This window comes from Homo sapiens, chromosome 16 (genome assembly GCF_000001405.40).
Source record: "Homo sapiens chromosome 16, GRCh38.p14 Primary Assembly".
In the NCBI taxonomy this organism is placed as follows: Eukaryota; Metazoa; Chordata; class Mammalia; order Primates; family Hominidae; genus Homo; species Homo sapiens.
The window spans coordinates 56,901,718-56,926,217 of record NC_000016.10 but is presented as its reverse complement, the minus strand read 5'-3'; the positions used below and the strand labels follow the sequence as shown (position 1 = coordinate 56,926,217).

Genomic DNA, 24,500 nt, shown 5'->3' with positions numbered 1-24,500 from the left:
TTTTAAATAAGAATAATGACCACATCATTATATTAAGATAATGATAATATCAGATAACAGTCATTGGTAAGAATGGAAAAAAGTCTTGGGACAAGCTTAGAAAAGACTTTGAATGGTCACCCTTCGGAGTTTGGGCCTTATTTTGTGGACAATGGGAGGTTTTTGAGCAGTAGAAGGGACAGATCAGAATCAGTATGGATCCACGTCATTATGGAGGGGGACAGACTCCAGGCCAGGAGACTGATCAGTTCATTCAAGAGGAGATGAGGGCCAGGATTAGTGGCTCATGCCTGTAATCCCAGCACTTTGGGAAGCCAAGGCAGGCAGATCACCTGAGGTCAGGAGTTTGAGACCAGCCTGGCCAACATGTCGAAACTCTGTCTCTACTAAAGATATAAAAATTAGCCGGGCATGGTGGTGGGCGCCTCTAATCCCAGCTACTTGGGAGGCTGAGACAGGAGAATTGCTTGAACCCCAGGAGGCGGAGGTTGCAGTGAGCCAAGATCACACCACTGCACTCCAGACTGGGCAACAGAGCAAGACTCCATCTCAAAAGATATATATATATATAGGCCGGGCGCGGTGACTCATGCCTGTAATCCCAGCACTTTGGGAGGCCGACACGGGTGGATCACGAGGTCATGAGATCGAGACCAGCCTGACCAACATGGTGAAACCCCATCTCTACTAAAAATACAAAAATTAGCTGGGCATGGTGGCACGTGCCTGTAATCCTAGCTACTCGGGAGGCTGAGGCAGGAGATTTGCTTGAACCCCGGAAGCGGAGGTTGCAGTGAGCCAAGATCGTGCCACTGAACTCCAGCCTGGTGATGGAGCAAGACTCCGTCTCAAAAAAAAAAAAAAAAAGGAAAAAGAAATAAAGTAGGAGAGAAAGCATGTGAGGGAATGCAAGTTAGCAAGCTGAAGGGAAATCCACAGTGTTCAATGGGATTTCTGGAAATGTGGAAATGAAAGGAACATGGAAACTCTTTAAGTTGACTGTGGTAGTGCTGCAGTGTTGCTGTCTCTCTGCCATGATCTAATTCATGTTTGCATTCTGAGATGGGGACAGGAATGGAAGAATCAAGCGCTATCTTATTTTACAATCAGGCTGTGAAGGTAGAGCCTTTGCAAAACCCAAGTCAGCAAGAGATCATTGCCAGTAATCATGTTTTATTTGAAGTAGTCTGGTGTCTTAGGCCCTGCTGAACTTCTATACTTTGTTTTTTGAACTCTTGGGGGTTTTTTTGTTTTTTTGGTTTTTTTTTTGGAGTAATTTAAACTCCAACCAGAATCTGTGCTTTTTATGGTCATTCTGAAGTCCTAATTTGACCACCCACATAAGCCACCTTCTTTAGCCCAGGAAATGGACGTCCTGTTCCATACTCATGAAACCCTTCCCACAGCAACTCTCCTGCCCTTGCTAAGCCAGAAGCAGCTTTCCTTCTGTACAAGAAGTAGTCCCCCAAGGCAAACCCTCCCTTAACATTGTGGCCCATGACGGGGAAGTGTTTTTATTTGAAGGAAGGAGGAATCTCAGACTGTGGTTATCAACTTTTGAGGACTTGGGGCAACCACTTCCCTGTTATTCCCCTGTGCGACCTGATTCTTTTTTTTTTTTTTTTTTTTTTTTTTGAGATGGAGTCTCGCTCTGTCACCAGGCTGGAGTGCAATGGCATGATCTCGGCTCACTGCAACCTCTGCCACCTGGGTTCAAGCAATTCTCCTGCCTCAACCTCCTGAGTAGCTGGGACTACAGGTGCGCACCACCACACCCAGCTAATTTTTGTACTTTTAGTAGAGACAGGGTTTCACCACGTTGGCCAGGATGGTCTCGACCTCTTGACCTCGTGATCCACCCACCTCAGCCTCCCAAAGTGCTGGGATTACAGGTGTGAGCCACTGCGCCTGGCCGCTACCTGATTCTTAAAGGTGTTTGTTATACACAGTTTTTAAATGGAAGAAAATGAAAACAGAGCTAGTTTTTGAGAACCTCAAAGTGTCTCTTGAATAGGAGACACCAGAGGGTAAGACCAGTCAAGACTGACAACGGGGGCCAAGCTGTGGCAGCAGAACAATAGGTCTGATAGTAAAACTCAGCCCTTAGAAAGTTTTACAGTGTACCCAGAGTTGCTGGATAAGTCAATATAGAATTACCAGATGACCCAACAATTCCTCTCCTAGATATCTATCTACCCAAAAGAACTGAAAGCACTTTTCACAAAAATTTGTCCATGAATATTCATAGCAGCATTATTTATAATAACACAAAATGTGGAAACCACCTGAAGGTCCACCAGCTGAATGAATAAGCAAAATACGGCATATCCATGCAATGCGCTATTATTCAGCCTTAAACAGGAATGAAGTGCTGATGCATGCTACAAGATGGATGAGCCTTGAAAACACGATGCTAAGTGAAAAAGCCAGACAAGAAAGGCCACATAAGGCCACATATTGTATCTACTTATATGAAATATCTAGAGCAGGCAAATCCATAGAGACAGAAAGCAGATGAATGCTTGCCAGGGGTTAGTGGGGATTTACTGCTTAATGGGTCCAGAATTTCCTTTCGGGGCGATGAGAATGTTTTGGAATGAGATAGTGGTGATGGTTGCACAACACCGTGAATGTACTAAATACCACTGAATTACACTTTAAAATAGTTCAGGCCGGGCACAGTGGCTGACACCTGTAATCCCGGCACTTTGGTAGGCCGAGGTGGGCAGATCACCTGAGGTCAGGAGTTGGAGACCAGCCTGGCCAACATGGCGAAACCCCGTCTCTACAGAAAAAAAAAAAAACAAATACAAAAATTAGCTGGGCCTGGTGGCGTGTGCCTGTAATCCCATCTACTTGGGAGGCTGAGGCACAAGAATCGCTTGAACCTGGGAAGTGGAAGTTGCAGTGAGCCGAGATCTCACCACTGCACTCCAGCCTGGGTGACAGAGTGAGACTTTGTCTCAAAAAAATAAAATAGTTAAAATGGTGAATTTTGTGTTATGTCTTTTACCACAATTTTTTAAAGACCTTGGCCTGGCACAGTGGCTCATGCCTATAATCCCAGCACTTTGGGAGGCTGAAGCTGGAGGATCGCTCAAGGCCAGGAGTCCAAGACCAGCCTGGGCGTGAGACCCCATCTCTCTCTCTTTTTTAATAAAATAAGAAAAGAGAAAGAAAGAAAGAGAAAGAAAGAAAAGGAAAGAAAGAGACAGAAAGAAAGAAAAGAAAGAAAGAAAGAAAGAAAGAAAGAAAGAAAGAAAGAAAGAAAGAAGAAAGAAAGAAAGAAAGAAAGAAAGAAAGAAAGAAAGAAAGAAAGAAAGAAAGAAAAGAAAAAAGAAAAAAAAAAAAAGACCCTGCTTGGGCTTCCCTGTTCTGAGTGCTACTCCCCAGCCTTTCTTCCAAGAGTGGGAGGAAGGCAAATAAAATCACCTCCACCACACATAGGAAACTTTCACTGATTACTCCAACAAAGGACTTAGATCCTGGAGAGGACGGGTAGATGGGAGGCATCTACCTGATTTGGTTGTCTCTCCAACAGTAAATACTTGCTTTTGCCCTAGAGCATGCCAGGTTTATGGCTCTCCCTGGCTGACCAGGTTTGGACCCAGGACAAACAAGAGTCAGGTGGAGCCCGCCCTCCAGGCCAGCATCTAGGGCAAGGGTCATGGTTGAATTCGGAGGCCCCAGGTAACCTCTGAAGCCCACATTCTTTTTCTCCCATCACAGCTTCCTTCTAAATATTCTGATTGCTGTCCAGCGTTTTACTTTAAACAGAAAAGAAAAAAACATGTATCTTAAATGTCATGTACCTTTTCTTTTTTTTTTTTTTTTTTCTTTTTTTGAGATGGAGCTTCACTCTTACTGCCCAGGCTGGAGTGCAATGGCACAATCTTGGCTCACTGCAACCTCCGCCTCCCGGGTTCAAGCAATTCTCCTGCCTCAGCCTCCCGAGTAGATGGGATTACAGGCGCCTGCCATCACGTCCGGCTAATTTTTGTATTTTTAGTAGAGACAGGGTTTCACCATGTTGGCCAGGCTGGTCTTGAACTCCTGACCTTGGGTTATCCACCGGCCTCAGCCTCCCAAAGTGCTGGGATTACAGGCATGAGCCACTGTGCCCGGCCTCGTGTATCTTTTCTTGTACACAGAATATTCTGTACCCTAAGTAGGATTTTGATCTTGTATTAGTTTCTTTCTTTCTTCACCCAGCAAAACTCCCACCTTCCCCAAGCTGACTTCAGACTAGACCCAGCACTTCAGCAAAGATGCGTAAGACACCAGAAGTAGCTTAGGCAACATTTTTGTTCAAATGGTGGGACTTTTGATCTCCTCCATGAATTTATTTCTGCTTGCTCAGCCCTCACATTAAGTCCTGGACTTATCCTCCTGTCTTTATTAGCCCATTGCAAACACCTGCACTTATTCCTCCAACTCTTATCTCTGACGTGGCCCAGTTGGCCTTTCCTGCCCTAGGCCCATATCCATCACTGAGATCTCAGGAATTAACCCCTGGGTGTAGTTCTTTGTGTACAGGCTCCAGTCTCCTCCCCGATACGTGCCTTGCCCCAGTACCCCTGACATTAACCAACCCTGTCTTTTTCCAGGAAAGGACCCTGAATATCACACCACTGAAGGAGGTTCTTCCCTCCCAGCCCACCTCCTCGGTGTGCTTATAAGAGCATACCTGCATCTAATTTGGTGCATATCTTAGCAGCCTTTTCTTTTTTTTTAATTTCAACTTTTATTTTAAGTTCTGGGGTACACGAACAGGTTATGCAGGTTTGTTACGTAGGTAAATGTGTGCCATGGTCATTTGCTGCAGAGATCATCCCATCACCTGGGTATTTCTTTTTCTTTTTATCTTGTTTTGTTCGTTTGTTTGTTTGAGATGGGGTCTCACTCTGTCACCCAGGCTGGACTGCGGTTGTGCAATCTTGGTTCACTGCAGCCTCTGCCTTCTGGATTCAAAAGATTCACCTCCCTCAGCCTCCCGAGTAGCTGGGACTACAGGCGCCCGCCACCACGCCTGGCTAATTTTTGTATTTTTAGTAGAGATGGGGTTTCACCATGTTGGCCAGGCTGGTCTCAAACTCCTGACCTCAAGCAATCTGCCTGCCTCAGCCTCCCAAAGTACTGGGATTACAGGCATGAGCCACCGCACCCGGCCACCTGGGTATTAAGTCCAGCATCCATTAGCTATTCTTCCCCATGCTCTCCCTCCCCTCAGGCCCCTCCCACACTGACAGGCCCCAGTGTGTGTTGTTCCCTCCCACGTGTCCATGTGCTCTCATCATTCAGCTCCCTTTTCTGATCTGAAGGTTTACCTGTCTGCAGATACAGGTAGTGACCTCCAGGGATCTCTCTCAAGATCTCACTCAGCACCTTTGACAGCTGGCTCACAAGCTTCCCCCCCACCCTTTGCCCATTTTAACAACTCCAGCGTCCGGCTCACACTCTCAGGATGTTTAGCTCACTTCCCTTTGTCTTGTCTCCACTTTCCTCTACCACTCATTGGTATGATCCATTCATTCGTCGTTCATTCATTCATTCTGCAAACATCTATTGAGTGTCCACTCTGCTAAGCCCTGTGCTGCACCCTAGGGTAAGAGATGAATCAGATATGTTCACCCTCAAAGCTGACATGCAGTCATTCAGCTGTTTCAGCAGTTAAGATACTGAAATACTCCTGTGCCTGTTGGGTCCATAGCCCCTGCCCCGAGTGCCCTTCGGCTGCCCTGGGCCCTCCTCTGGTCTCCCTGCCATCCAGCAACTAAAAGGTACATCTCAAATCCCGCCTTTGTAGACCTCATAGGCAAATGGTGGACACCTTAGAGTTTGGTGTGCTTAAGATGTTTAGTTCCTCCAGAATGTCAAGCTGTGAAGTGCACACGTACTGACCACAAACTTTGTTCTTCTCCTTCTCCCCATCTCCCACATCAACTGCATATTCTTCTTTGTTGTTGTTGTTGTTTGTTTGTTTTAGAGACAGGGTCTCACTCTGTTGCCCAGGCTGGAGTTCAGTGGCACCATCTCAGCTCACTGTAGCCTCAACCTCCTGGGTTCAAGCCATCTTCCTACCTCAGCCCCCAAATAGCTGGGACTACAGGTGCATGCCATCATGCCTGGCTAATTTTTGCATTTTTAGTAGAGATGGGGTTTTACCATGTTGCCTAGGCTGGTCTAGAACTCCTGACTTCAAGTGATCCACCTGCCTTCGCCTCCCAAAGGGCAGAGATTATAGGTGTGAGCTACCGTGCCCGGCCCACTGCATGTTTTTGTTGTTGTTTTGGGTTTTCTTGAGACAGAGTCTCACTCTATTGCCCAGGCTAGAGTGCAGTGGCACGATCTCGGCTCACTGCAACCTCTGCCTCCCAGATTCAAGCGATTCTCCTGCCTCAACCTCCTGAATAGCTGGGACTACAGGTGGCCACCATCATGCCTGGCTAATTTTTTTTTTTTTTCCCTTAGGGAAAAAAAACCTGTTGGTCAGGTTGGTCTCAAACTCCTGGCCTTAAGTGATCCGCCTGCCTTGGCCTCGCGAAGTGCTGGGATTACAAGCATGAGGCACCGCGCCCAGCCTGCGTGTTCTTTTTGTCTTCATGCTACTAGCATTTCAAGTCTTGTCAAGTCTTGCAGCTCACTTCTGGTCTCCCCATCCAACTGGGAGCTCACGGTCATCATTCTTGAATCCCTCCCTCGTGCCTTCTCCTTCCCTGTTTGCTTGGCCAGCCCCATTGTTGGGAAACATGTCACCTGCAATTTCTATGTTTGCTTTCTGACCTGGTGCTCAGGGGCCCTGCCGGGGCAGATCACAAGGGCAAGGGTCCTGAGAGTTTTGCACCCCAGGGCTACCAGACTTCAGCTATGCCTTTCCTGCTGTGTGGCAAAAATGTCCCCACGTTTTGTTGATTCATCATTGCTACCTTTTCTGCAGTTATTCTTTTGCTTGCATCATCAATCTCTCCCCTCTGACCTATCGATACACTCAGGTCTCTATTACTCACCCTCACTCTGTAACAGAGACATTTATTGTTCAATGAATATTCATATCTTCCCCCAAATTTCCCAGCACCCTTGCAGTTAGGTGGAGCCATGTGACTATTTGGCTTTGGCTAATGGGCTTTGAGTGGAAATAAATAACGTCCCTTCTGGGTGGAAACACTTAAAAGCCAGTGTGTGACCCTCCAGCTCTCTTTTCCCTTCTTCAGTGAGCTGGAAACTACTGGTCAAAGTGGTGGCTTCCCAAGACAGGAGTAATTTTGATCGTTGAGTCCCGATGTGGAGAAGAGGAACCCCGAAGAGCTGCCTGACTGTGTTAGGAATATTTGTAACAGAAACAGAACTTTGTCTTGTAAGCCTCTAACATCGAGAGGGCAATTTGTTACTGCAGCATAGCCTAGCATTACCCTAATACACGCCCTACGATAACAACAGGCAAAGCACTTTCCTTGAGTCTGTTATTCCCTCAGGTTTCCACTGTGTCTCCCTCAATCTCTCCATTGCTGGCTTACTCAAGTATGAAGTCTCTAAGCAGGGCTACTGTTTTCTTTTCCTGCCCACAAATTCATTCCTCAGTCCCTGGCCCCTGACCTGCCGCTTTACCGAATTATTCACTGCAAGGCTCCCAATGATGCCTCAACCCCAAATTCAACAGCACCTTCAGTGGCTCCAGCCCCTTCGCAGACAGCTACTACATGGTCGACTCTGAGCTTCTTTGATCCCCTTCTCGGGTGCCTCCTCGGTGATCTGAGTTTTCCTCCTGTCCCTCCAATGCTCTTTTCAAGTCTGCCTCACCACTGACCCTTTTTCATTCTGCCTCCTAAATATAGCCCTTCCCAAGGTCTAGCCCTGTTCTTTCTTTGTACTTTCTCTCTTGATCTCACCCAAGCTATGACTTCCATGTCCCTGACCATGAGCATGACTGCCAAATCTATTTACGGTCACTGCTCTCAAAGAGCTGCAGGCTAACAGGGGAGCACCTTGAGCTCTTCCCAGGTTCCAGGACCACAGTTCTGACCACCTGGGCATTCTCACACTTAAAGTACCAAACCCAAATCAATTTGCTTTCTCTTTCCTTCAGCATTAAGCCTGTTACTCTGCCCTTCATATGACGGGACTGCTACTTCTCCTCCTCCTTTTTTTTTTTTTTTTTTTTGAGATAAAGTCTTGCTCTGTCACCCAGGTTGGAGAGCAGTGACACAATCACAGCACTGCAGCCTCAACCTCCCAGGCTCAAGTGATCCTCCCACCTCAGCCTCTGGGGTAGCTGAAGCCACAGGTGCGCACCACCACATCCAGCTAATTTTTTTTTTCTTTTTTTGTAAAGAAAGGGTTTCATCATGTTGCCCAGGCTGGTCTCAAACTCGTAGGCTCAGGTGATCGCCCTGCCTTGGCCTCCCAAAGTGTTGGGATTACAGGCGTGAGCCACCGCGCCCGGCCGAGTCTTATTTTCCTATACACACTTCCCTCACACTCCAGGAAAACTGGCTTGTTTCTTGTTCTCCAGACATGCCCGGGGCAATCCTCACTCTGTCTTTTGCTCAAGCTACCGCTGCTGCCCAGAAATCCTTCTTCCCACCCCAGATCTCATTTCTCTCTTTCTATTGAATCCCACCAATCTCTGGAACCTATTAGGCCAAATAATGATCTAGACAAACTCGAAATCCTTGGATCCAAAGGCTCACACTACAGGGGAGTAGGAAGTGGTGGGCTGGGAAGGGCAGTGGGTTGGGGGTGACCAAGGAATGTGTACCCCTTTTGTACACCATGTTCCCTATAAAGACTTTCCTAATCCCCTTGACCTTATGTGTTTGCTCCCTCCTTTGCAAACGTAGAATGTTTTATTTGTAATTTTTATGAGTTAAAATAAAACCACTTGTCCTTTCTTGCCGCTGTCTTTCATCTATCAGACATTTTGCTCTCTGGCCTCCCAGCCAGGTGGTTCTTCTGAGAGTATTTATAGAAACTGTATTTGTGATGGCTCCACTTTTAGGAAGTGGGTGCGTATGTTGTACTTTTGCTTTCGGTCACAGGATGAAACCTCACTTCAAGTGGGAAATTACCAATGAAGCCAGTGGCTGGGCTTTCCTGCGCCCCATTTCTGTGAACATTCTTGGAGTTGGCAGCATTTTTTCCCTGATATCCTGAGCTGTACACAGCTATGAACCAAACCTGGCTGCTTTGCATGTGCCTGAAGGCCTCCCAGCCAGGTGGTTCTTCTGGAACAATCCAGCTGGTCTCATCCCTGTGAACCCCTCCTCCCCCTCACCACTCTAGACAGTCCAGGCAGGGGTCTAGAAGGGAATTCAGTCCACATGGGGACTCTCCATGTGCTAAGGAGGCCCACAGCTTTCTGCCTGGGTAAGCAGAGCCCAGAGAGCCCATTGGGTGAAAAATAGGTGGTACTGCAATTACTTCAAAGCCATAGGAAGTCTGGGCAGGCACTGAGGGAGGATACTAAATCTGGAGGCTGAAATGCTGAGGGCAAAACTGGGAGCTGACTGGGCAGTGGATCCCAGGGGAGAGAAGGGAGGAGCCCCTGCTGGGGTGGCCACTGGGGCTGAGGCTGGCCCTGGCCCTGATGGTTCCCTCCTCTGCCAGCACAGAGGAAGGGAAGGCTTCATGGATAGTACTTCCCACTGCACAAACTCCTAAATGGGAAGCATTTTGTCATCCAAAGGCAGGGACAGAGAGGCAGTGTGGCCCTACATCTCTTATGCTAATAGGCCAAATAATGATCTAGAGAAACTCGAAATCCTTGGATGCAAAGGCTCACACCACAGGGGAGTAGGAAGTGGTGGGCTGGGAAGGGCAGTGGGTTGGGGGTGACCAAGGGATGTGTACCCCTTCCCCTTAACCCCCACCTCCTGATGCAGCCACAATTTTTGTCAACCACTCCTGGGCCAAACCACAGTCACTGTTGGGTCAGCTGGCTGGGGACACCTGTTCTGGTCCAATTCTTTCATTTCATAGACTGGAGGCCTCCCAGAGACACGAAGGGGCATATCTGAGGTCACACAGCCAGTTTTGGGGAGACATTGAAACTCAAATCCCAGTCACCTGGTGGCCTTGCCATGGCTCCTTCACTCAACCTGTTACCTCTCTGTGTCAGGCAAGATGGGAAATGCTGGGGGACTTTGATAAAGGCTGAGAAAAATGGTTCCCCGTGAGTCTGCAAATGCATGGAAGAGAATCAAAGGGAAAATAAATGGCTCCTATAAATATTTATGTTGAAATCTGGCACTATGACCTGCAGAACCAGTAGGGGCTCCGAGAAGAGTTCAATCCAGGGTTGGAAAAACAATAGTTCATTTTTTCAAAACACTCAGCAGAGTTGAAAAACAGTGTGTTCCAAAACAAATAAGTTCCGTTGACTGAATGACCACCGTTTTTATTCATTTCATTGTTTATGGCCTCGCTGTTAAAGCTTTTTATTTTTTTACAAAGCTATTACTATTGTTAAAAACATACTATTTCTGACATCGTGAAAATTTTTTTTTTGACACCCGAAGCCAAAACATTCTGTTTTTTGGACCAAGGACTCTTTGAGGTTTGAAGAACCAGAAAATTGTTTTCTACGTGGCTCTAGAAAGGCCAGCATTCCCTGATGGATGCTTCCCCTTATTTCGAGTTAAGAATTATCCCAGAATCCAGCTCAATGGCTGGGAGGCAGGCCCATCCTCCAGGTCCCTCAGGAGCACGAGAGCTGTTCCTAGTCAGCTTGGCCGTGCCCCAGTCCCTCGTAGCAAGCCCTGAGGCGGTCAGACAGTGGGGCTTCAGAGCAGCCTGGGAGCCCCAAGCCTTCTGGGCTTTGCAGTGGGATGACCTGAGAAATGCTAACATCCTTTGGGTTGTAACTCCAGAAAGGAGACTTCAGATCTCCTTCTAAATTCTAGAAGTCTTTAGTCTCCTTCTGAAGTCTAAAGTGTAGGCACTGCAGCAGTCTTGGAGGAGGCTGATGAAACCCAAAGATGTCTGTTCCTTCAGCCACCCCAGTGCCATCGGAAGAAGGCACAGGCAGTCGTACCACCAAACAACTCACCTTTACGCTTCTTGGTTATGTCTAGAGCTGCAAATACCCTCACTTGGCCTCACCCACTGGCATTCGATGGCAGTGCTCTTGCACCCTAGCTTTGGGGGCTCAAACACTGGGGATGTTCAACGTGTAGTGACCTGAAGGCCTTCCGTGAGCCAGGTATAGGTCCTTTCTCCATCTCCCTTGTCCTAGCTTCTCTCCCACCTCCAACCCCACTCTTAACAGCCCCTCCCTGCCAGCCCCCTCTGCCGCCTGCTCTTTCCATCTCTTGCAGGTGGCTCCTCCTCCCCTCTCCTTTCACCTGGTCTTGGGCTAGGCTTGGCTTGGACCTGCTCCTGCCTATCTGTTCCTTGCCAACCTTGCCATCTCTACACCCCTCTCCACATCTTCATTCCTGACATCCTTGTCGTCTGTTCTTAACCATGCCTGAAATCTTACCCTTGCCACTAGACTCCTTCAACCTTGCCCCTTCTTTAAAACTCTTTTTTGACTCTCCTGCCATCAATACCCCTCCTCACGTGTTCTGTCAATCTGCTTTTCTTCCCGGTGAGATGAGCTGGGAAAATGGCAATGACACCCAGCCGTGGCCTTTCCCCAGCTCAGCCAGACTCCCTGTGTGTGGACAAATGCAAGGCACAACAGAAAGGTGGCCATGCCTTTCAAATGTGTGGGTCCCCACCCATGAGTGGATCCCAAAGTCATTTTATTGGATTGCAACCAACAGTGAAAAATAAACAGAACAGAACATACTGGAGGACGTCCCCCAGGGAAGGGTAAGTATTGTTTTGTGACATTTTTGTTTTGGTCGTTTCCGTGTGTGTGCGCTGCAAGTCTCAGTGTGAAGTATATTTCTTACTGTGTGTTGCAACCAAAAAAGTTCGAAAAGTCCCTCGTCCAAAGAACCAGTGAAGACATCAAAGACCCCTTATTGAAAGTGACGGGAGTGAGAAGTGGTTCAAGAAATTTGCCTGGGCCGGGCGCAGTGGCTCAGGCCTGTAACCCCAGCACTTTGGGAGACCGAGGTGGGTGGATCACCTGAGGTCAGGAGCTCAACACCAGCCTGGTCAACATGGTGAAACCCCATCTCTACTAAAAATACAAAAATTAGCTCGTGTGATGGCAGGTGCCTGTAATCCCAGCTATTCGGGAGGCTGAGACAGAAGAAATGCTTGAACCCGGGAGGAGGTTGCAGTGACCTGAGATCATGCCATTACACCCTAGCCTGGGCAACAAGAGAAAAAACTTCATCTAAAAAAAAAATATATATATATGTATTTGCCTGGCTGTGGAGGCTCAGAGAGAGACCTGCATTCCTTAGAGAGCCTGTAGGTCCTACAGGTGAGGCTCCCATTCTCCTATTGGAGGAAGCAGGGCATGATTTAGGAACTTTCACCCAGGAAGGTCTGTAGAAACTGTCAAGATTCACGCCCAGCATTGGGACTCCAATTTGCATACAAATCAAAGACTGAACTCTTAATTAATGGTCATCAAAATCAAAAGAAATCCTTTAAAAGGAATAGGATGCTTTAGAGAGTTTTCCTTGCAGCTCCATCTGCTATTTCTCTAGCCTATAAACACAAGACCCAGGGAATGTGTCCCATGGAAGTGGAGTCCAGCCAGATTTGGAAATCTACCATCTTTTTCGGTGAGATCATCAGATGCTGCCACTTAAAGTGCAACAGAACATGAGTCTCATCCCTGTGGACTAGAGGCAATCAAGTTCCAACTTATCCCACACACTCAGAGCTGTGGACAGGGATGTCAAAGCCTGGAGTTACTGGCAGTAAAAGGTGAGCACGTTTTCCTGGTTTCCTCGGATCAGGATGACTGGAGGTCTGAGGTCCTGGGACAGGGTCTCCAGCCAGGCCATGTACAGCGAGCTGGGGCACTTCCCCTTCCTCCCTATGGGCAAAGTGCTGCAAGGCATGAAAAAGTGGTAGAAGAGAGATTACCACGGGGCCGCTCCACACGCCCAGCTCCCAGTTTGTTTTCAGAACAGCGAGTCTGTTTACCGTCCCTCAGAGCTCCTTCCACCCACCCTAAGAATGACCTCCCCACTTTCCGCACAAACCTGACCCAGAATGGACCTTCTGCCGTGAAGCGTTTCTAAACAAAGCCATGGCCCACAAGCCCTATGGGATCTAGTCCTTGCCAAGCCCACGACCTCACCTCCTCCCACCCTCGCCTTGCTCACCCCCGATGCCCTGTGGCTTTCTTTCCATTCCTAAAAAAATGCCAAGCTCACTCCTGCCTCCAACCTTTGCACTTGACGTTCTCCCCACCCACCAGGAAAGGAGCAGCCCCAGCTCTGCACCTGGTCACTTCCTTTGAGTCAGGCAAGTGCACCCACCTCCTCCCTGATCACTCCTCCAGGGCAGGCCGCCCACGCCTCTTCCTCACATCACCCCACTTTACTGCCTTCAGAGCCCTCCACAGTCCCAACAGCATCTTCTGATTTATGTGCTTGTCTCCCCACATTAGAATGTTCGCTCACAAGGAGGCCAGATCTGCCTTATTCACCCCCCTTTTCCCAGTGCCTAGAACACAGTCTGATACAGTCAGGCTCAGTATATATTTGTTAAGTGGGCGACCCTTCCCTATCAGGCCACCCGCTTCATGCCAGGCTTGCCTCTCCAGCCCTGTGCCAGCCTGTGGCCACAGCAATGTGATATGTTCCTGTTCATTCATTGTCCAGCTCAGCGTCTTTGTCCTGCCTCCTGCCCTGTGCAGGAGGCCCTGGGAGCAAGACTCCACCGCTGCCTATGGGGAGGCCCCTTGTCTTAACTGTGCAATGCTGCGTGAATAAAAAGATGCCCTGGGAATGCTGTCCAGCCATGTCTTCCAACTATTTCAGGAAGTGACTTTTCTACTATCTGGAGAATTCCAAAAATGCATTGGGATGGCCACAGCTGCCCAGCTCTGGGCTCCAGGAGGGTCTGTGGGCTCCAGCAGTGTCTCACAGGTCCAGCTGGTGCCGCATGAAGTGGGGGCACCAGCACCTTCCGTGGGACTCACTTGAGTGTCTGTTTTCCCCAAGTACATCCCCCTGGGGAATGGGCAGGGCCCGCAGCACCGCGCTCCTTCACAGGTGGGAGAACTGGGGCGGGAGGAGGATGCTGGAGCGCTGAGGTCAGAGCCAGTCTCTGGCGTCCGAGTCGTGGCTTTGCCACTTCCTCAGCCAGATGACCTTTGCAGAGTTTCTCTTCCCTAAAGCAAGAACACAAAAACCTCCCTCGCAGGATGTTTGTGATGCTAAAACAGGCAAAGCACACGCAGGCACAGCACAATGCCTGGCACACAGTGAGTGCTCTGTAAGGTCAGCAGCTGTCATCACCACTTAGTACTGACCAGCACGCGACAGCTAAGCCAGCGGCGGCAAAGCTGGAATTCGAACCGAGGTCTTGACATCTTCCCTCCGCAGCAGCCTCTGCTCACAGCAACTCCAACCTCCTCTGAGAAGGGTAACTGGGATACTAAACAGCTATGTCACACTTGGAAGTTCCATCCACAAAGCTTCACCTGGGACAAGCCCTACCCTCCTTTAAAAAGCAATGTCCCGGGCCAGGCATGGTCACACCTGTAATCCCAGCACTTTGGGAGGCCGAGGTGGGCAGATCACTTGAGCCCAGGAGTTTGAGACCAGCCTGGGCAACATGGTGAGACCCTGTCTTTACAAAAAATAGAAAAATTAGCTGGGCATGATGGCACACGCCTGTGGTCCCAGCTCCTCAGGATGCTGAGGCGGGAGGATCGTTTGAGCCTGGGAGGTCGAGGCTGCAGTGAGCATGATTGCGCCACTGCACTGCAGCCTGGGCAACAGAGTGAGACTCTGTCTCAAAACAAACAAACAAACAAACAAACAAACAAACAAAAGGTCTCAAAAATTAGGGAAGGTGGGTTGGACCAAGGCCATTTCATTAAGCTATAGTCATCTGAGTTCAAATATTTAGTGACTTTCCAGGAGAAAGGGACATAGGAGTACTGAGCCCAAACTCTCCTGACTGAGCAGTTATGCAAGAGGCGGACAACATCCAGGAAATAGGACATGATTTCGGGGACTGAATTCAGAAACTTCAAAGGCCACGAGAGAAATGGTGCCTGCACCATGGGGGTGGGGAACATCCAACACACCTATGTCAGACTTTCAAGCTTCAGCATGGAGTTCCCTCCCCCAACACAGCCTGTCCACCTGTCCGAGAGACAGCTGTCTTGAAAATCACCCCCGCCCCCACACCAGTCAATGACGTGCTCTATTCCTGCTCACAGGATGTGCATGCCTTGAGCTACTAATCTTCAGAAATAAAACTGTTCCAGAACAAAGGAACATTTTTTCAGAATTACATCTCTTAGCCACAAAGAAAGGCGACTTCAGATCTAACCTAGATGTGAAAGACAGCCCTGCATCAGAACCACAGTCACAGGCTCCAGATGCAATTCCCACTTCCTGTCTGCAAGACCCTGGCCAAGTTGCTTAACTTCTCTGAAGCTGCTTCCTCATCTCTAAAGTGGGAGTGAGGGGGTGATTATAATAGAGTTTTGAGGCCAGGCACAGTGGCTCATGCCTGTAATCCCAGCACTTTGGGAGGCCAAGGCAGGTGGATTGCTTGAGCTCAGGAGTTGGAGACCAGCCTGGGCCAACATGGTAAAACCCTGTCTCCATAAAAAAATACAAAAAACTAGCCAGGCCTGGTGGTATGTGCCTGTAGTCCCAGCTACTCGGGAGGCTGAGGTAGGAGGATTGTTTGAGTCCCGGGAGGTGGGGGTTGCAGTGAGCTGAGATCTCACTACTGCTCTCTAGCCTGGGTGACAGAGTAAGACCCCGCCACCAAAACAAAGAAAATTATAGGACCAAAGATGCCCAAAGAGGCCTGAGTCACAGGTTACAGAAAGAGAAAAAACAACAACAACAAAAAAAAACAAAGAGGTTGCCGTGAGCCGAGATCCTGCCACTGCACTCCAGCCTGGGTGACAGAGTGAGATGCTCTCTTAAAATTAGGGCTTTGCAAATTCATAAGGCCTATTGCCTTGAGTACCATATAGAGGCCCAAGCCATAAAATGCAATGTTGATTATTACTATTTTGATTATTGCTGCTTGGCTTTGAGGAGGGAGTGTTTTTAGAAAAAAAAGAGGTGTCTGGACCCAACAGGAATATGTTGCTAGGCTAGTCAAAGCTTGCTGGGCTTTTTATGAGGCTGGTTTATCAGCTGTGCTGGGGTAGCTGAGCTCAAACCCGGGGCCATTTGATAACCCACTGATTAGTGAACAGCAATCAATCAAGTGCTGCCTCAAACCGGCTCTAGAAAATGCTCCAAGCACGCTCTCCCAGATGCTAGACAATGTGATCTAATCATTTCACCGAGGCTTGGGAGATTTTTTTTTTTTCCCTTCCTCAGAATTTCTGGGCTCCACCCTAGAGCCTGGTCTGGAAGGCACTGAGGAACTTGCATTTTTCACAGTCCCCTGGTGGTTCTGATGAAGCGGACCCTCTGACTGAACTTGTAGAGAAACACTAGGCATGGCTCCAGGTTGGAGATTAGTGATGGAGAGATGCAGCTGCTCTGTCCTCCCGGTGGACTTGGCCCAATAGCTGGGGCCTCTTTGGGCAACAGCTGTAGCTACTGGCATGGGGTGGGACGCCCTGGGCAGGGGTCTTCTCTTGGGTCACTGGATTTATAATTACTTGTATTGGCAAATCCCACAAAGGCTGGTGGGTGGGGGATTGATTTTCCCTGTGAGTTTGGGGGATGGTGGTAGGGATGGGGGGTGGGAAGGGAGAGATTCCAACAGGTGGTCACCTCCCGGGATGAAATTCTTCATCTTATGGCTTAAGAGACTGAGAGACTGATTCTTTTTTTTTTTTTGCTTTCTTTTTTTTTCTTTTGGTAGTGACAGGGTCTCACTATGTTGCCCAGGCTGTTCTCCAACTCCTGGGCTCGATCAATCCTTCAGCCTCAGCCTCCCAAAGTGCTGGGATTACAGGCATGAGCCACTATGCCCAGCTGAGACTCATTTTAATGAGTCATTTTAATGACAAATAAATGCCCAGCTGAGACTCATTTTAATGACAAATAAACTTAGAATCACAGCATGTTAGCATGAAAGAGAATCTTGGAAATACTTTTGTTAACTCTTTATAATTAGGGAAACTGAGGCTAGAGAGACATGGGGTCTTACCCAAGGCCACACAGTGGGCTAATCGCATAGACAAAATGCACACATGCCTCTCTGAACAGAGGCGGCACTCATTAAGCCGTGGTCTGGCACACCCATGCACACCCACCAGGCACCATACCCAAGGAAGAGTCTGGGGAGGCGTCCCAGGACAAAGCCATTTCCACTGTCTTGCGCTCGGACCCAGCGCTCACCCTGGACCAATCTTGTCCTAGGAACATTCTCTGCTAGGTGTTGGCAAGAGGTTTGGAGATAAGCCCAGCCCCTTTCCTTATCACTGTTCTCCAAGGAAACACGGGGCACTTTCTTTGTACAAAAAAATCATGTCCCTAAAGCCCCAGGAAGCATTGTTCTGGGCAGAGCCAGCTTCCTGGGTGTGCAACCAGCACAGTCACACGGGGCCTTCTGCTCCGGAGGGTCCCTTGTTTATCTAATGCCCTGCTCTCACCGTCTTGACATTCTTCTTTTTTTCTTTTTTTCTAATGCCTTAAGTCACACAAGAAAATGTTGCAAGCGGCAGTTCAACACAATTGACTACACTATAAATTATATCACTATCTGCAGCTGGGCACCGTGGCTCACGCCTGTAATCCCAGCACTTTGGGAGGCTGAGGTGGGTGGATCACCTGAGGTCAGGAGTTTGAGATCAGCCTGGCCACCATGGTGCAACCCCATCTCTACTAAAAATACAAAAAATTAGCCGGGCGAGGTGGTGATATTCAGGAGGCTGAGGCAGGAGAATCACTTGAACCCAGGAGGCGGAGGTTGCAGTGAGCTGAGATCTCACCACTGCACTCCAGCCTGGGTGACAGAGTGACTCTGCCTCAAAAAAAAAAAAAAAAAAAGTTATATCACTATCTGAGAAATGAATACAATCATTCTTTAAAAAAAAAAAAAGCACACACTGGCACTGGGGACATCGGGGCATGAGGAATACTGAGTCCCAGGGGCAGACTGACAATGGTCTGCTTCTGGTCTGTTGTTAGACTTCTGCACTCTTACACACATCTGCTAAGAAGGGTTTGCACACTGCATAGGATATTAGGAATCATGAAGAATTCTACATGCTCTACTGTCTACTGGCACATAGGAAGTGATTGGGAAGAAGAGAAACTATAAGTCAGAACCATTTGCTACAGTCTGAATATTCATGTCCCCCCAAAATTCACACGTTGAAATCCATATCCCCAGAGTGATGGTTTTAGGAGGTGGGGCCTTTGGGAGATGATGAGGTTATGAGAGTGGAGCCCTGTGACCTATGAATAGGATTAGTGCTCTTATAAAGAGGCCCCAGAGAGCTCCCTGGCTCCCTCCGCCAAGTGAGGACACAGAAAGAAGGCCCATCCATGAGTCAGGAAAGGAGCCCTGCCTCTGACTCTGAATTTACCATGCTTTGATCTAGGACTTCCCAGCCTCTAGAACCATGAGAAATAAATTTCTGTTATTGATAAGCCCAGTCTATGGTATTTTGCTATAGCAGCCTGAATGTTCTAAGACATGATTTCTGAAAACTGCTGTCGTGTATGGAAGTAGCGTTTGAGTATTATCCAAGCACATTTCTAGCTCTGTCATCCAGGCTGGAGTGCAGTGGCATGATCTTGGCTCACGGCAACCTCTGCCTCCCAGGTTCAAGCAATTCTCCTGTCTCAGCCTCCCAAGTAGCTGGGATTACAGGTGTGCACCACCAAGCCTGGCTAATTTTTTTGTATTTTTAGTAGAGGTGGGGTTTCACCATGTTGGCCAGGCCGGTCTCAAACTCCTGACCTCAGGTGATCCACCCGCCTTGGCCTCCCAAAGTGCTGGGATTACAGGCGTGAGCCACCATGCCCAGCCCCAAGCACGTTTCTAATTGCCTGAACCACTCTCCTGGTGACAAAATTCCGCTAATTGGTAAAAGCAAAAATTTTACCTCTGTCCTGTCAATGAAGAGTAACTGGTGCTGGTGCCTTTTGAATTCTCCTGGGCATCTTTTTTTCATGTGAGAGTTTTTAGTTTATTAATCTTCTTGTAAAAAATCCACAATGGCTGCAGATAACACACTGCCGCCCCTTTACTCCTTTGGCTGTGATCCAATCTCCAGCCCACCTTTTGCCAGCACCAACGTGGCCTTTACAGTCCCCTTAACTTCCTTCATTCTGTTCTTGCATTCCTTTCATTGCTTTCTTGAGGTCTTTTTCTTCTCATACAGGCCATGTCTTGCAAGTCTATGTTTGGGTTCACTTTTCTTTGCATAATCCAAGGAATCATAAATCATGCCAAAGCTAGTTGTCTTGCCACCACCAAAATTAGTTCTAAATCCAAATGCAAAGATGATATCCAGTGTGGTCTTGTATATTTTGGCTAGTTGGTCCTGAATTTCTATCTTAGGTACTGTTGCCTTCCCAGGGTGAAGGACATAGACGACCATTTGTTTCCTCTGAAGTAGTCAGTTGGTCACGACCTTCCTAGTTTGGATACTTACTGATTCATTCAGGATGGCAGTCAATCCTCAGACATCCAGGGAGGAAAAACCCTCATGGACATCTTAAGACAGACTGGAGGTCCAGAAACCTCCAGGTCAGGTCTCCAAACTGGTTGCTCAGCTTCTAGCCTTTGATGAGACCTAGGAGGATGCGTATCCTCAAGCTTTATCTACTCATCTGCTAGAAGCCATTGGCCATTTTCAGTCTGAACCCATTTGCTGTTTTGATCTTCTCAAAGGGGCACTTACACTACATAAAAGAAACATTGCTGGTGCTCTCCTGAAAGAGGGTATTGCAGACACAGCAGTAAGGGATGCATGCAACGTACACAGTACTCAAGCAACAGAAGTAGGGGGAAAATAGTTTGAGTTGCTTTTATCACCCTCAATGGACCACTTGTTCTGAGGTCTCCTCTCATGAATCTAATATCCTTAGATCCTGGCATCTGCAGTCTAGGTCAGATGGTGACAAGTCTGGGAATGGGTTGTATCACCAGAGCTGAAGGATCCCTCCTATCTGAGCACATCTTCCTAGAACAGTGTGTGGCGCTAGGTTTTTGGGGACCTTCTTGCCAGAGAAAGCAAGCTTGATGAGGCACTTGTGGTTGCTCTCCAAGGCAGGATGCATTTTGCAGATTTATAGAAGGGTTCAAACAGGTGAAGTTTGAAAAATGATACCCTGACGTTTCATGCCCACGTCATCATCTGTCTACATCAATGATCAAACTATGATCAGTTGTGTTGAACCCCTACCCCCTCCTCCTTTCCACCACTGTGAGATTTTTTAAAAAACAAATTCCATACATCCTATGTGAGGATGTAAGGGAGACTGCTTTGAAAGGGAAGACCACAGACCTTCTTAATAGTTTCTGAGCAAGGTGCCCCACATTTTCATTTTGTCCTAGGCCTTGCAAATTGTGTAGTTGGTCCTGGCTTCAGGCTCTGAACAAGCAGTTTCCACGAACATTTCGGCTGTCATGCAGAACCTGGCATCTGCAGTCCAGGTCAGATGGTGACAGGTCTGGGAGTGGGGTACATCACCAGAGCCGAAAGATCCCTTCTGTCTGATTCCCAGGTGGTTGGCCCCCAGGAAATGTAGGAGAGGCCAGTTACTTACCTTGGCGAAGACCCCTTGTCCCCTGAGCTGAGGGCTTGGCTGATCATGTTCTTCCTCTTCTTCCTTCTTTTTTTTTTTTTTTTTTTTTTTGAGACGGAGTTTCGCTCTTGTTGCCAGGCTGGAGTGAAATGGGGCAACCTCGGCTCACCGCAACCTCTGCCTCCCAGGTTCAAGCAATTCTCCTGCCTCAGCCTCCCGAGTAGCTGGGATTACAGGTATGCACCACCACGCCCAGCTAATTTTGTATTTTTAGTAGAGACGGGGTTTCTCCATGTTGGTCAGGCTGGTCTCGACCTCCCGACCTCAGGTGATCTGCCCGCCTCAGCCTCCCAAAGTGCTGGGATTACAGGCATGAGCCACCGTGCCCGGCCAATCATGTTCTTCTTACAGGCCTCAGAGAGAGCAGAGCCACCCTGAGACCTTTGCTGCATAGCTCTCACCTTCCATCCCACATTCTGCTTGCTCAGCCCTGGCTAATACACCCAGGGGTGGCTCAGAACTGGACGTGGGTCCAGTAGGAACAGCCAGGGCTAGGACAGGCCTCTGTTTCTGTTGCTCAGGCTTGGAACCAACATCAGCTGGGAATGGCCGATAGCCAAGGAGGGCCAAGTAATTCCTGAACAACCAGGAGTTGATGTCCCTCTTGAAAGAGCTGGGTTCCCTCTTTGCCAAGTGGAATTTGGTAGGAAAAGGCAGCCAACAGGAAAAAGCAATGGCAAGGGGAGGTCACTGATGCCTGGGACACGTGAGGCCCTCGACCCCTGCCAGCTGGAGCTCAGGTGTGGGGCGGGCTCAGGCCCAGCCACATGCTAAGAATCGCCAGGGCTATGTTTATGGGAACTTTGGCCCTTCTGCTTCCTAGGGGAAGGCTTGGGCCCTCCGTGGTGCCCCTGCTGAGCCCCTTCCCAGAGCTGAGACACCTGACTCTGGACAGACTGGTCCTCCCACCAGCCGGGCACTACTTACATGACGATGAGAGCAGCGTCTCGGGAGTAATCCAGCACAATCTCATTCAGCCTCACCTGCCGAAGGGACTGGGCGGGAGAAAGCCGAGTGGTCACTTCCCATATCATCGAGGTCACTCAATCCTTCACCACGTCTATGGCCTCATTAACATTTTCAACTGGATTCATGATTTACTTGTAGACTCTGCTGCCTCATAAATTCTTATAGAGTCTCCTGTCTCCAGGAAGAAGGGGACCCTCAGAGTAATGGAGCACCAAGCTCACCTCCTCCAAGAAGCATTCTGTGGCTTTTCCTTGCCTGACTTTATGACCATAACCAGCAGGGTAGAGGGAAGAGAGAACACCTTACTAGGTTCAGATCTCAGCTCTCACATTTCATAGCAGAGAGAACTTGGGCAAGTCAGGTTGTCTCCCTGACCTTCACCATCTTCATCTGTAAAATGGGTATGATGATACCTTCTCCAGGGGAATTTGGGGAGGATCAAATGAGACAACCTATGCAAAAGCACCCGGCAGAGGGCCTGGTACACTAAAAATACTTTATAAAAGAGAGGTTGCCCCACTTCTTCTGTAACAGAGTATTGGAAGGTCTTCTTCGGACACAATGTTTTATTCAGCATTTTCCAAAGAGCCAGATGGCTGCATGGGCCCTTTGGGGCAGGGTCTCGGGGCTGACAGATTAGGGAAGTCCCCAAACTTGCGTGGGACTGGGTTGGGGGTGGGAGACTCCTTCCAACCCAAGGCCTAGCTCAAATTATTCAGAAATGATTGACACTCAGGAACTGATCGTGGACGGATGCCCTATCCTGGAGACCAAGAGACCGAGGGGAAGGGAGTTAACGTGGGTAAGGGATTCTGGACCTTGCACTGTAGTTATTTGGGGCATACAAGTCCTTGTTGTGGGAAGTGTCCTGCACATCGTAGGATGTTTGGCAGCATCGCAGGTCTCTCCTCACTGCCTGACAGTAGCAGCCCCACCCCCGAGTTGTGACAAACAAAAATGTCTCCAGAGGTTGCCAAATGTCCCCCAGGGGGTAAGCTCCCTCGTGGTGGAGAATGACTGACACTGGGGGTAGAAGTAGGACCCGGCCCTTGCCCCCATCGCTCTCGCTCGCACTCCTAGAGCCTGCCCCACCTTGACGCACTCACAGCATGGCTACAGGCACACACCCTTTCTTAGCCCTTAGAGTCCTGAAGGTGCTGTCCAGGAAGGGGCACCATAGCTCTGAGCTGTGGCAGGGGTAGGGTCTAGAGGCTAAGCAGGGAAGGTCAGGCAGCCGTGTTGGCCCACAGGACAATTTTTTTTTTTTTTTTTGAGACGGAGTCTCACTCTGTCACCCAGGCTGGAGTGCAATGGCACAATCTTGGCTCACTGCAACCTCTGCCTCCCAGGTTCAAGCGATTCTCCTGCCTCAGCCTCCCGAGTAGCTGGGATTACAGGTGCCTGCCACCATGCCCAGCTAATTTTTTTTGTATTTTTAGTAGAGATGGGGTCTCACCATGTTGGTCAGGCTGGTCTTGAACTCCTGACCTCAAGTGATCCACCTGCCTCGGCCTCCCAAAGTGCTGGGATTACAGGGGTGAGCCACCATGCCCGGCCTAACAGGACTAATTATACCTTGGCTGTCACCATGAGTCTCAGAAATCTCTTCCACCCGGCATAGAGGAAGTGTGGAGGAGGAGGAGGAGGAGGAGGACTCCGGGCAGTCAAGCCCACTGCCAGAGCTCACTCAAGATGGGCAGGAGGACCAGGCTCCCAGGTCAAGGATAGCACTGAGTTCCACAGCCGGGTTACCCATCAGCCTGAACGACTGTGGCTTGAGGATACCTCAGGGGCCGGAGTGGAAGGCAGGGTGGAGGATCGAGGGGAGGGGCTGGGGGAGCTCAAGACATGCAGGACACCCGTCCCTGACCCAGTGATGTGTCGCGTTTCCCACCCCCACCCCTCTCTGCACCTTGACTCTGTTCTTCGTAATCTCCTCATCTGAGATCTTCCAGGGGCAGTCCCGCCGCATCTCGTTGACAGTGGCCTCATCCTTGAAGCCATCATTCAGACGGAAGGGTGCAATCATGTCCTCAAACCTCTTGGTGCTGGGGACGAGAAAGTGGGTTGAGGCCGGCTGAGACGATAACCCCATTTCTAGGGGTGCCAGGTCCCTGCGGGGAGCTGGCAGTGTTGCCACAGCTCCCATTTTCAGGCTGAAACCCATCGGACACTGCCATTTACAAAGTGGCTTCCATGTTGAATTCAGCTCTGCTGGCTGGGTCTGGCATCCAACTGAACTTTCACAAGTTGCCCACAACCACTGACCTGTGACCCACCCGACCATCCAGCAGGTATTTACAGAGCATGATTCTGTACCAGGCTCTGTGCTACACAACAGTGAACAAATCAGATTGTGTCCCCAGTCCTCACAGAGCCACGGTGATAAGCAAGTAGCAAATAAATATGAAGTGGAAGCTTATGAAGGGACAACCAAGTACTGGGACAGAGAATAATGGGTGGGGAAGGCCCTTCTGGGACCTGAAGGAAGTCTGTCCTTGCAAAACCAGCCATGCACGGGACAGGGGGTGCAGAAGCGAACAGAACTGAACGTGCAGAAGCCCTGAGGCAGAGCGTGTTTGGCTCATATGAGGAGCAGTGAAGGATCCTGTGTGCTGGAGCAAGGTGAGTGCAGGGAAGGGTGGGAGGAGGTGAGGACAGGCAGGCAGAGAGGGCCCAGTCGGGCAGGGCTTCCTTATCTGC

At 49.1% G+C, this 24,500-nt stretch overlaps 1 protein-coding gene, 1 non-coding gene and 1 pseudogene across 5 annotated transcripts in view, besides 6 other annotated features; all 3 read right to left on the bottom strand.

The window, feature by feature from the left end:
- The window catches only part of SLC12A3 (solute carrier family 12 member 3), a 50,644-nt gene continuing 36,511 nt past the window's right edge, over nt 10,368–24,500 (bottom strand). For all 4 annotated transcript variants that reach the window (NM_000339.3, NM_001126108.2, NM_001126107.2 and 1 more), the window contains exons 24-26: nt 23,710–23,845; nt 21,756–21,823; nt 10,368–12,954 (exon numbers count right to left, since the gene is read on the bottom strand). In NM_000339.3, coding sequence (NP_000330.3) covers nt 12,813–12,954; nt 21,756–21,823; nt 23,710–23,845 — 346 coding nt within the window. In that variant the 3' untranslated portion in view covers nt 10,368–12,812. The remainder of the gene's footprint in view (nt 12,955–21,755; nt 21,824–23,709; nt 23,846–24,500) is intronic.
- Nucleotides 12,599–13,798: an enhancer, noted in NCBI's record as "CDK7 strongly-dependent group 2 enhancer chr16:56946332-56947531 (GRCh37/hg19 assembly coordinates)". NCBI's record gives its function as "activates an origin of replication core promoter dependent on BRD2, BRD4, P300/CBP, MED14 and CDK7 cofactors, with strong dependence on CDK7, by STARR-seq in HCT116 cells {active_cell/tissue: HCT116}" and the evidence as "EXISTENCE:reporter gene assay evidence [ECO:0000049][PMID:35650434]".
- Nucleotides 12,599–14,622: a biological region, named in NCBI's record as "CDK7 strongly-dependent group 2 enhancer GRCh37_chr16:56946332-56947531".
- Nucleotides 13,296–13,345: an enhancer, noted in NCBI's record as "active region_10858". NCBI's record gives its function as "activates an Ori minimal core promoter by ATAC-STARR-seq in GM12878 lymphoblastoid cells {active_cell/tissue: GM12878}" and the evidence as "EXISTENCE:reporter gene assay evidence [ECO:0000049][PMID:35858748]".
- Nucleotides 13,704–14,622: an enhancer, noted in NCBI's record as "H3K4me1 hESC enhancer chr16:56945508-56946426 (GRCh37/hg19 assembly coordinates)". NCBI's record gives its function as "activates a minimal SCP1, AML or CMV promoter by ChIP-STARR-seq in naive H9 embryonic stem cells {active_cell/tissue: H9 hESC(naive)}" and the evidence as "EXISTENCE:reporter gene assay evidence [ECO:0000049][PMID:30033119]".
- Nucleotides 19,195–19,720, bottom strand: RPS24P17 (ribosomal protein S24 pseudogene 17; annotated as a pseudogene).
- Nucleotides 21,641–22,149: an enhancer, noted in NCBI's record as "H3K27ac-H3K4me1 hESC enhancer chr16:56937981-56938489 (GRCh37/hg19 assembly coordinates)". NCBI's record gives its function as "activates a minimal SCP1, AML or CMV promoter by ChIP-STARR-seq in naive H9 embryonic stem cells {active_cell/tissue: H9 hESC(naive)}" and the evidence as "EXISTENCE:reporter gene assay evidence [ECO:0000049][PMID:30033119]".
- Nucleotides 21,865–21,954, bottom strand: MIR6863 (microRNA 6863). The gene has a single exon (NR_106923.1). It is a non-coding gene; the product is annotated as a microRNA 6863 (primary transcript).
- Nucleotides 22,778–22,958: a silencer, noted in NCBI's record as "fragment chr16:56937172-56937352 (GRCh37/hg19 assembly coordinates)". NCBI's record gives its function as "represses an EF-1alpha promoter that drives an FKBP-Casp9 reporter gene in an ReSE screen in HepG2 liver carcinoma cells {active_cell/tissue: HepG2}" and the evidence as "EXISTENCE:reporter gene assay evidence [ECO:0000049][PMID:32094911]".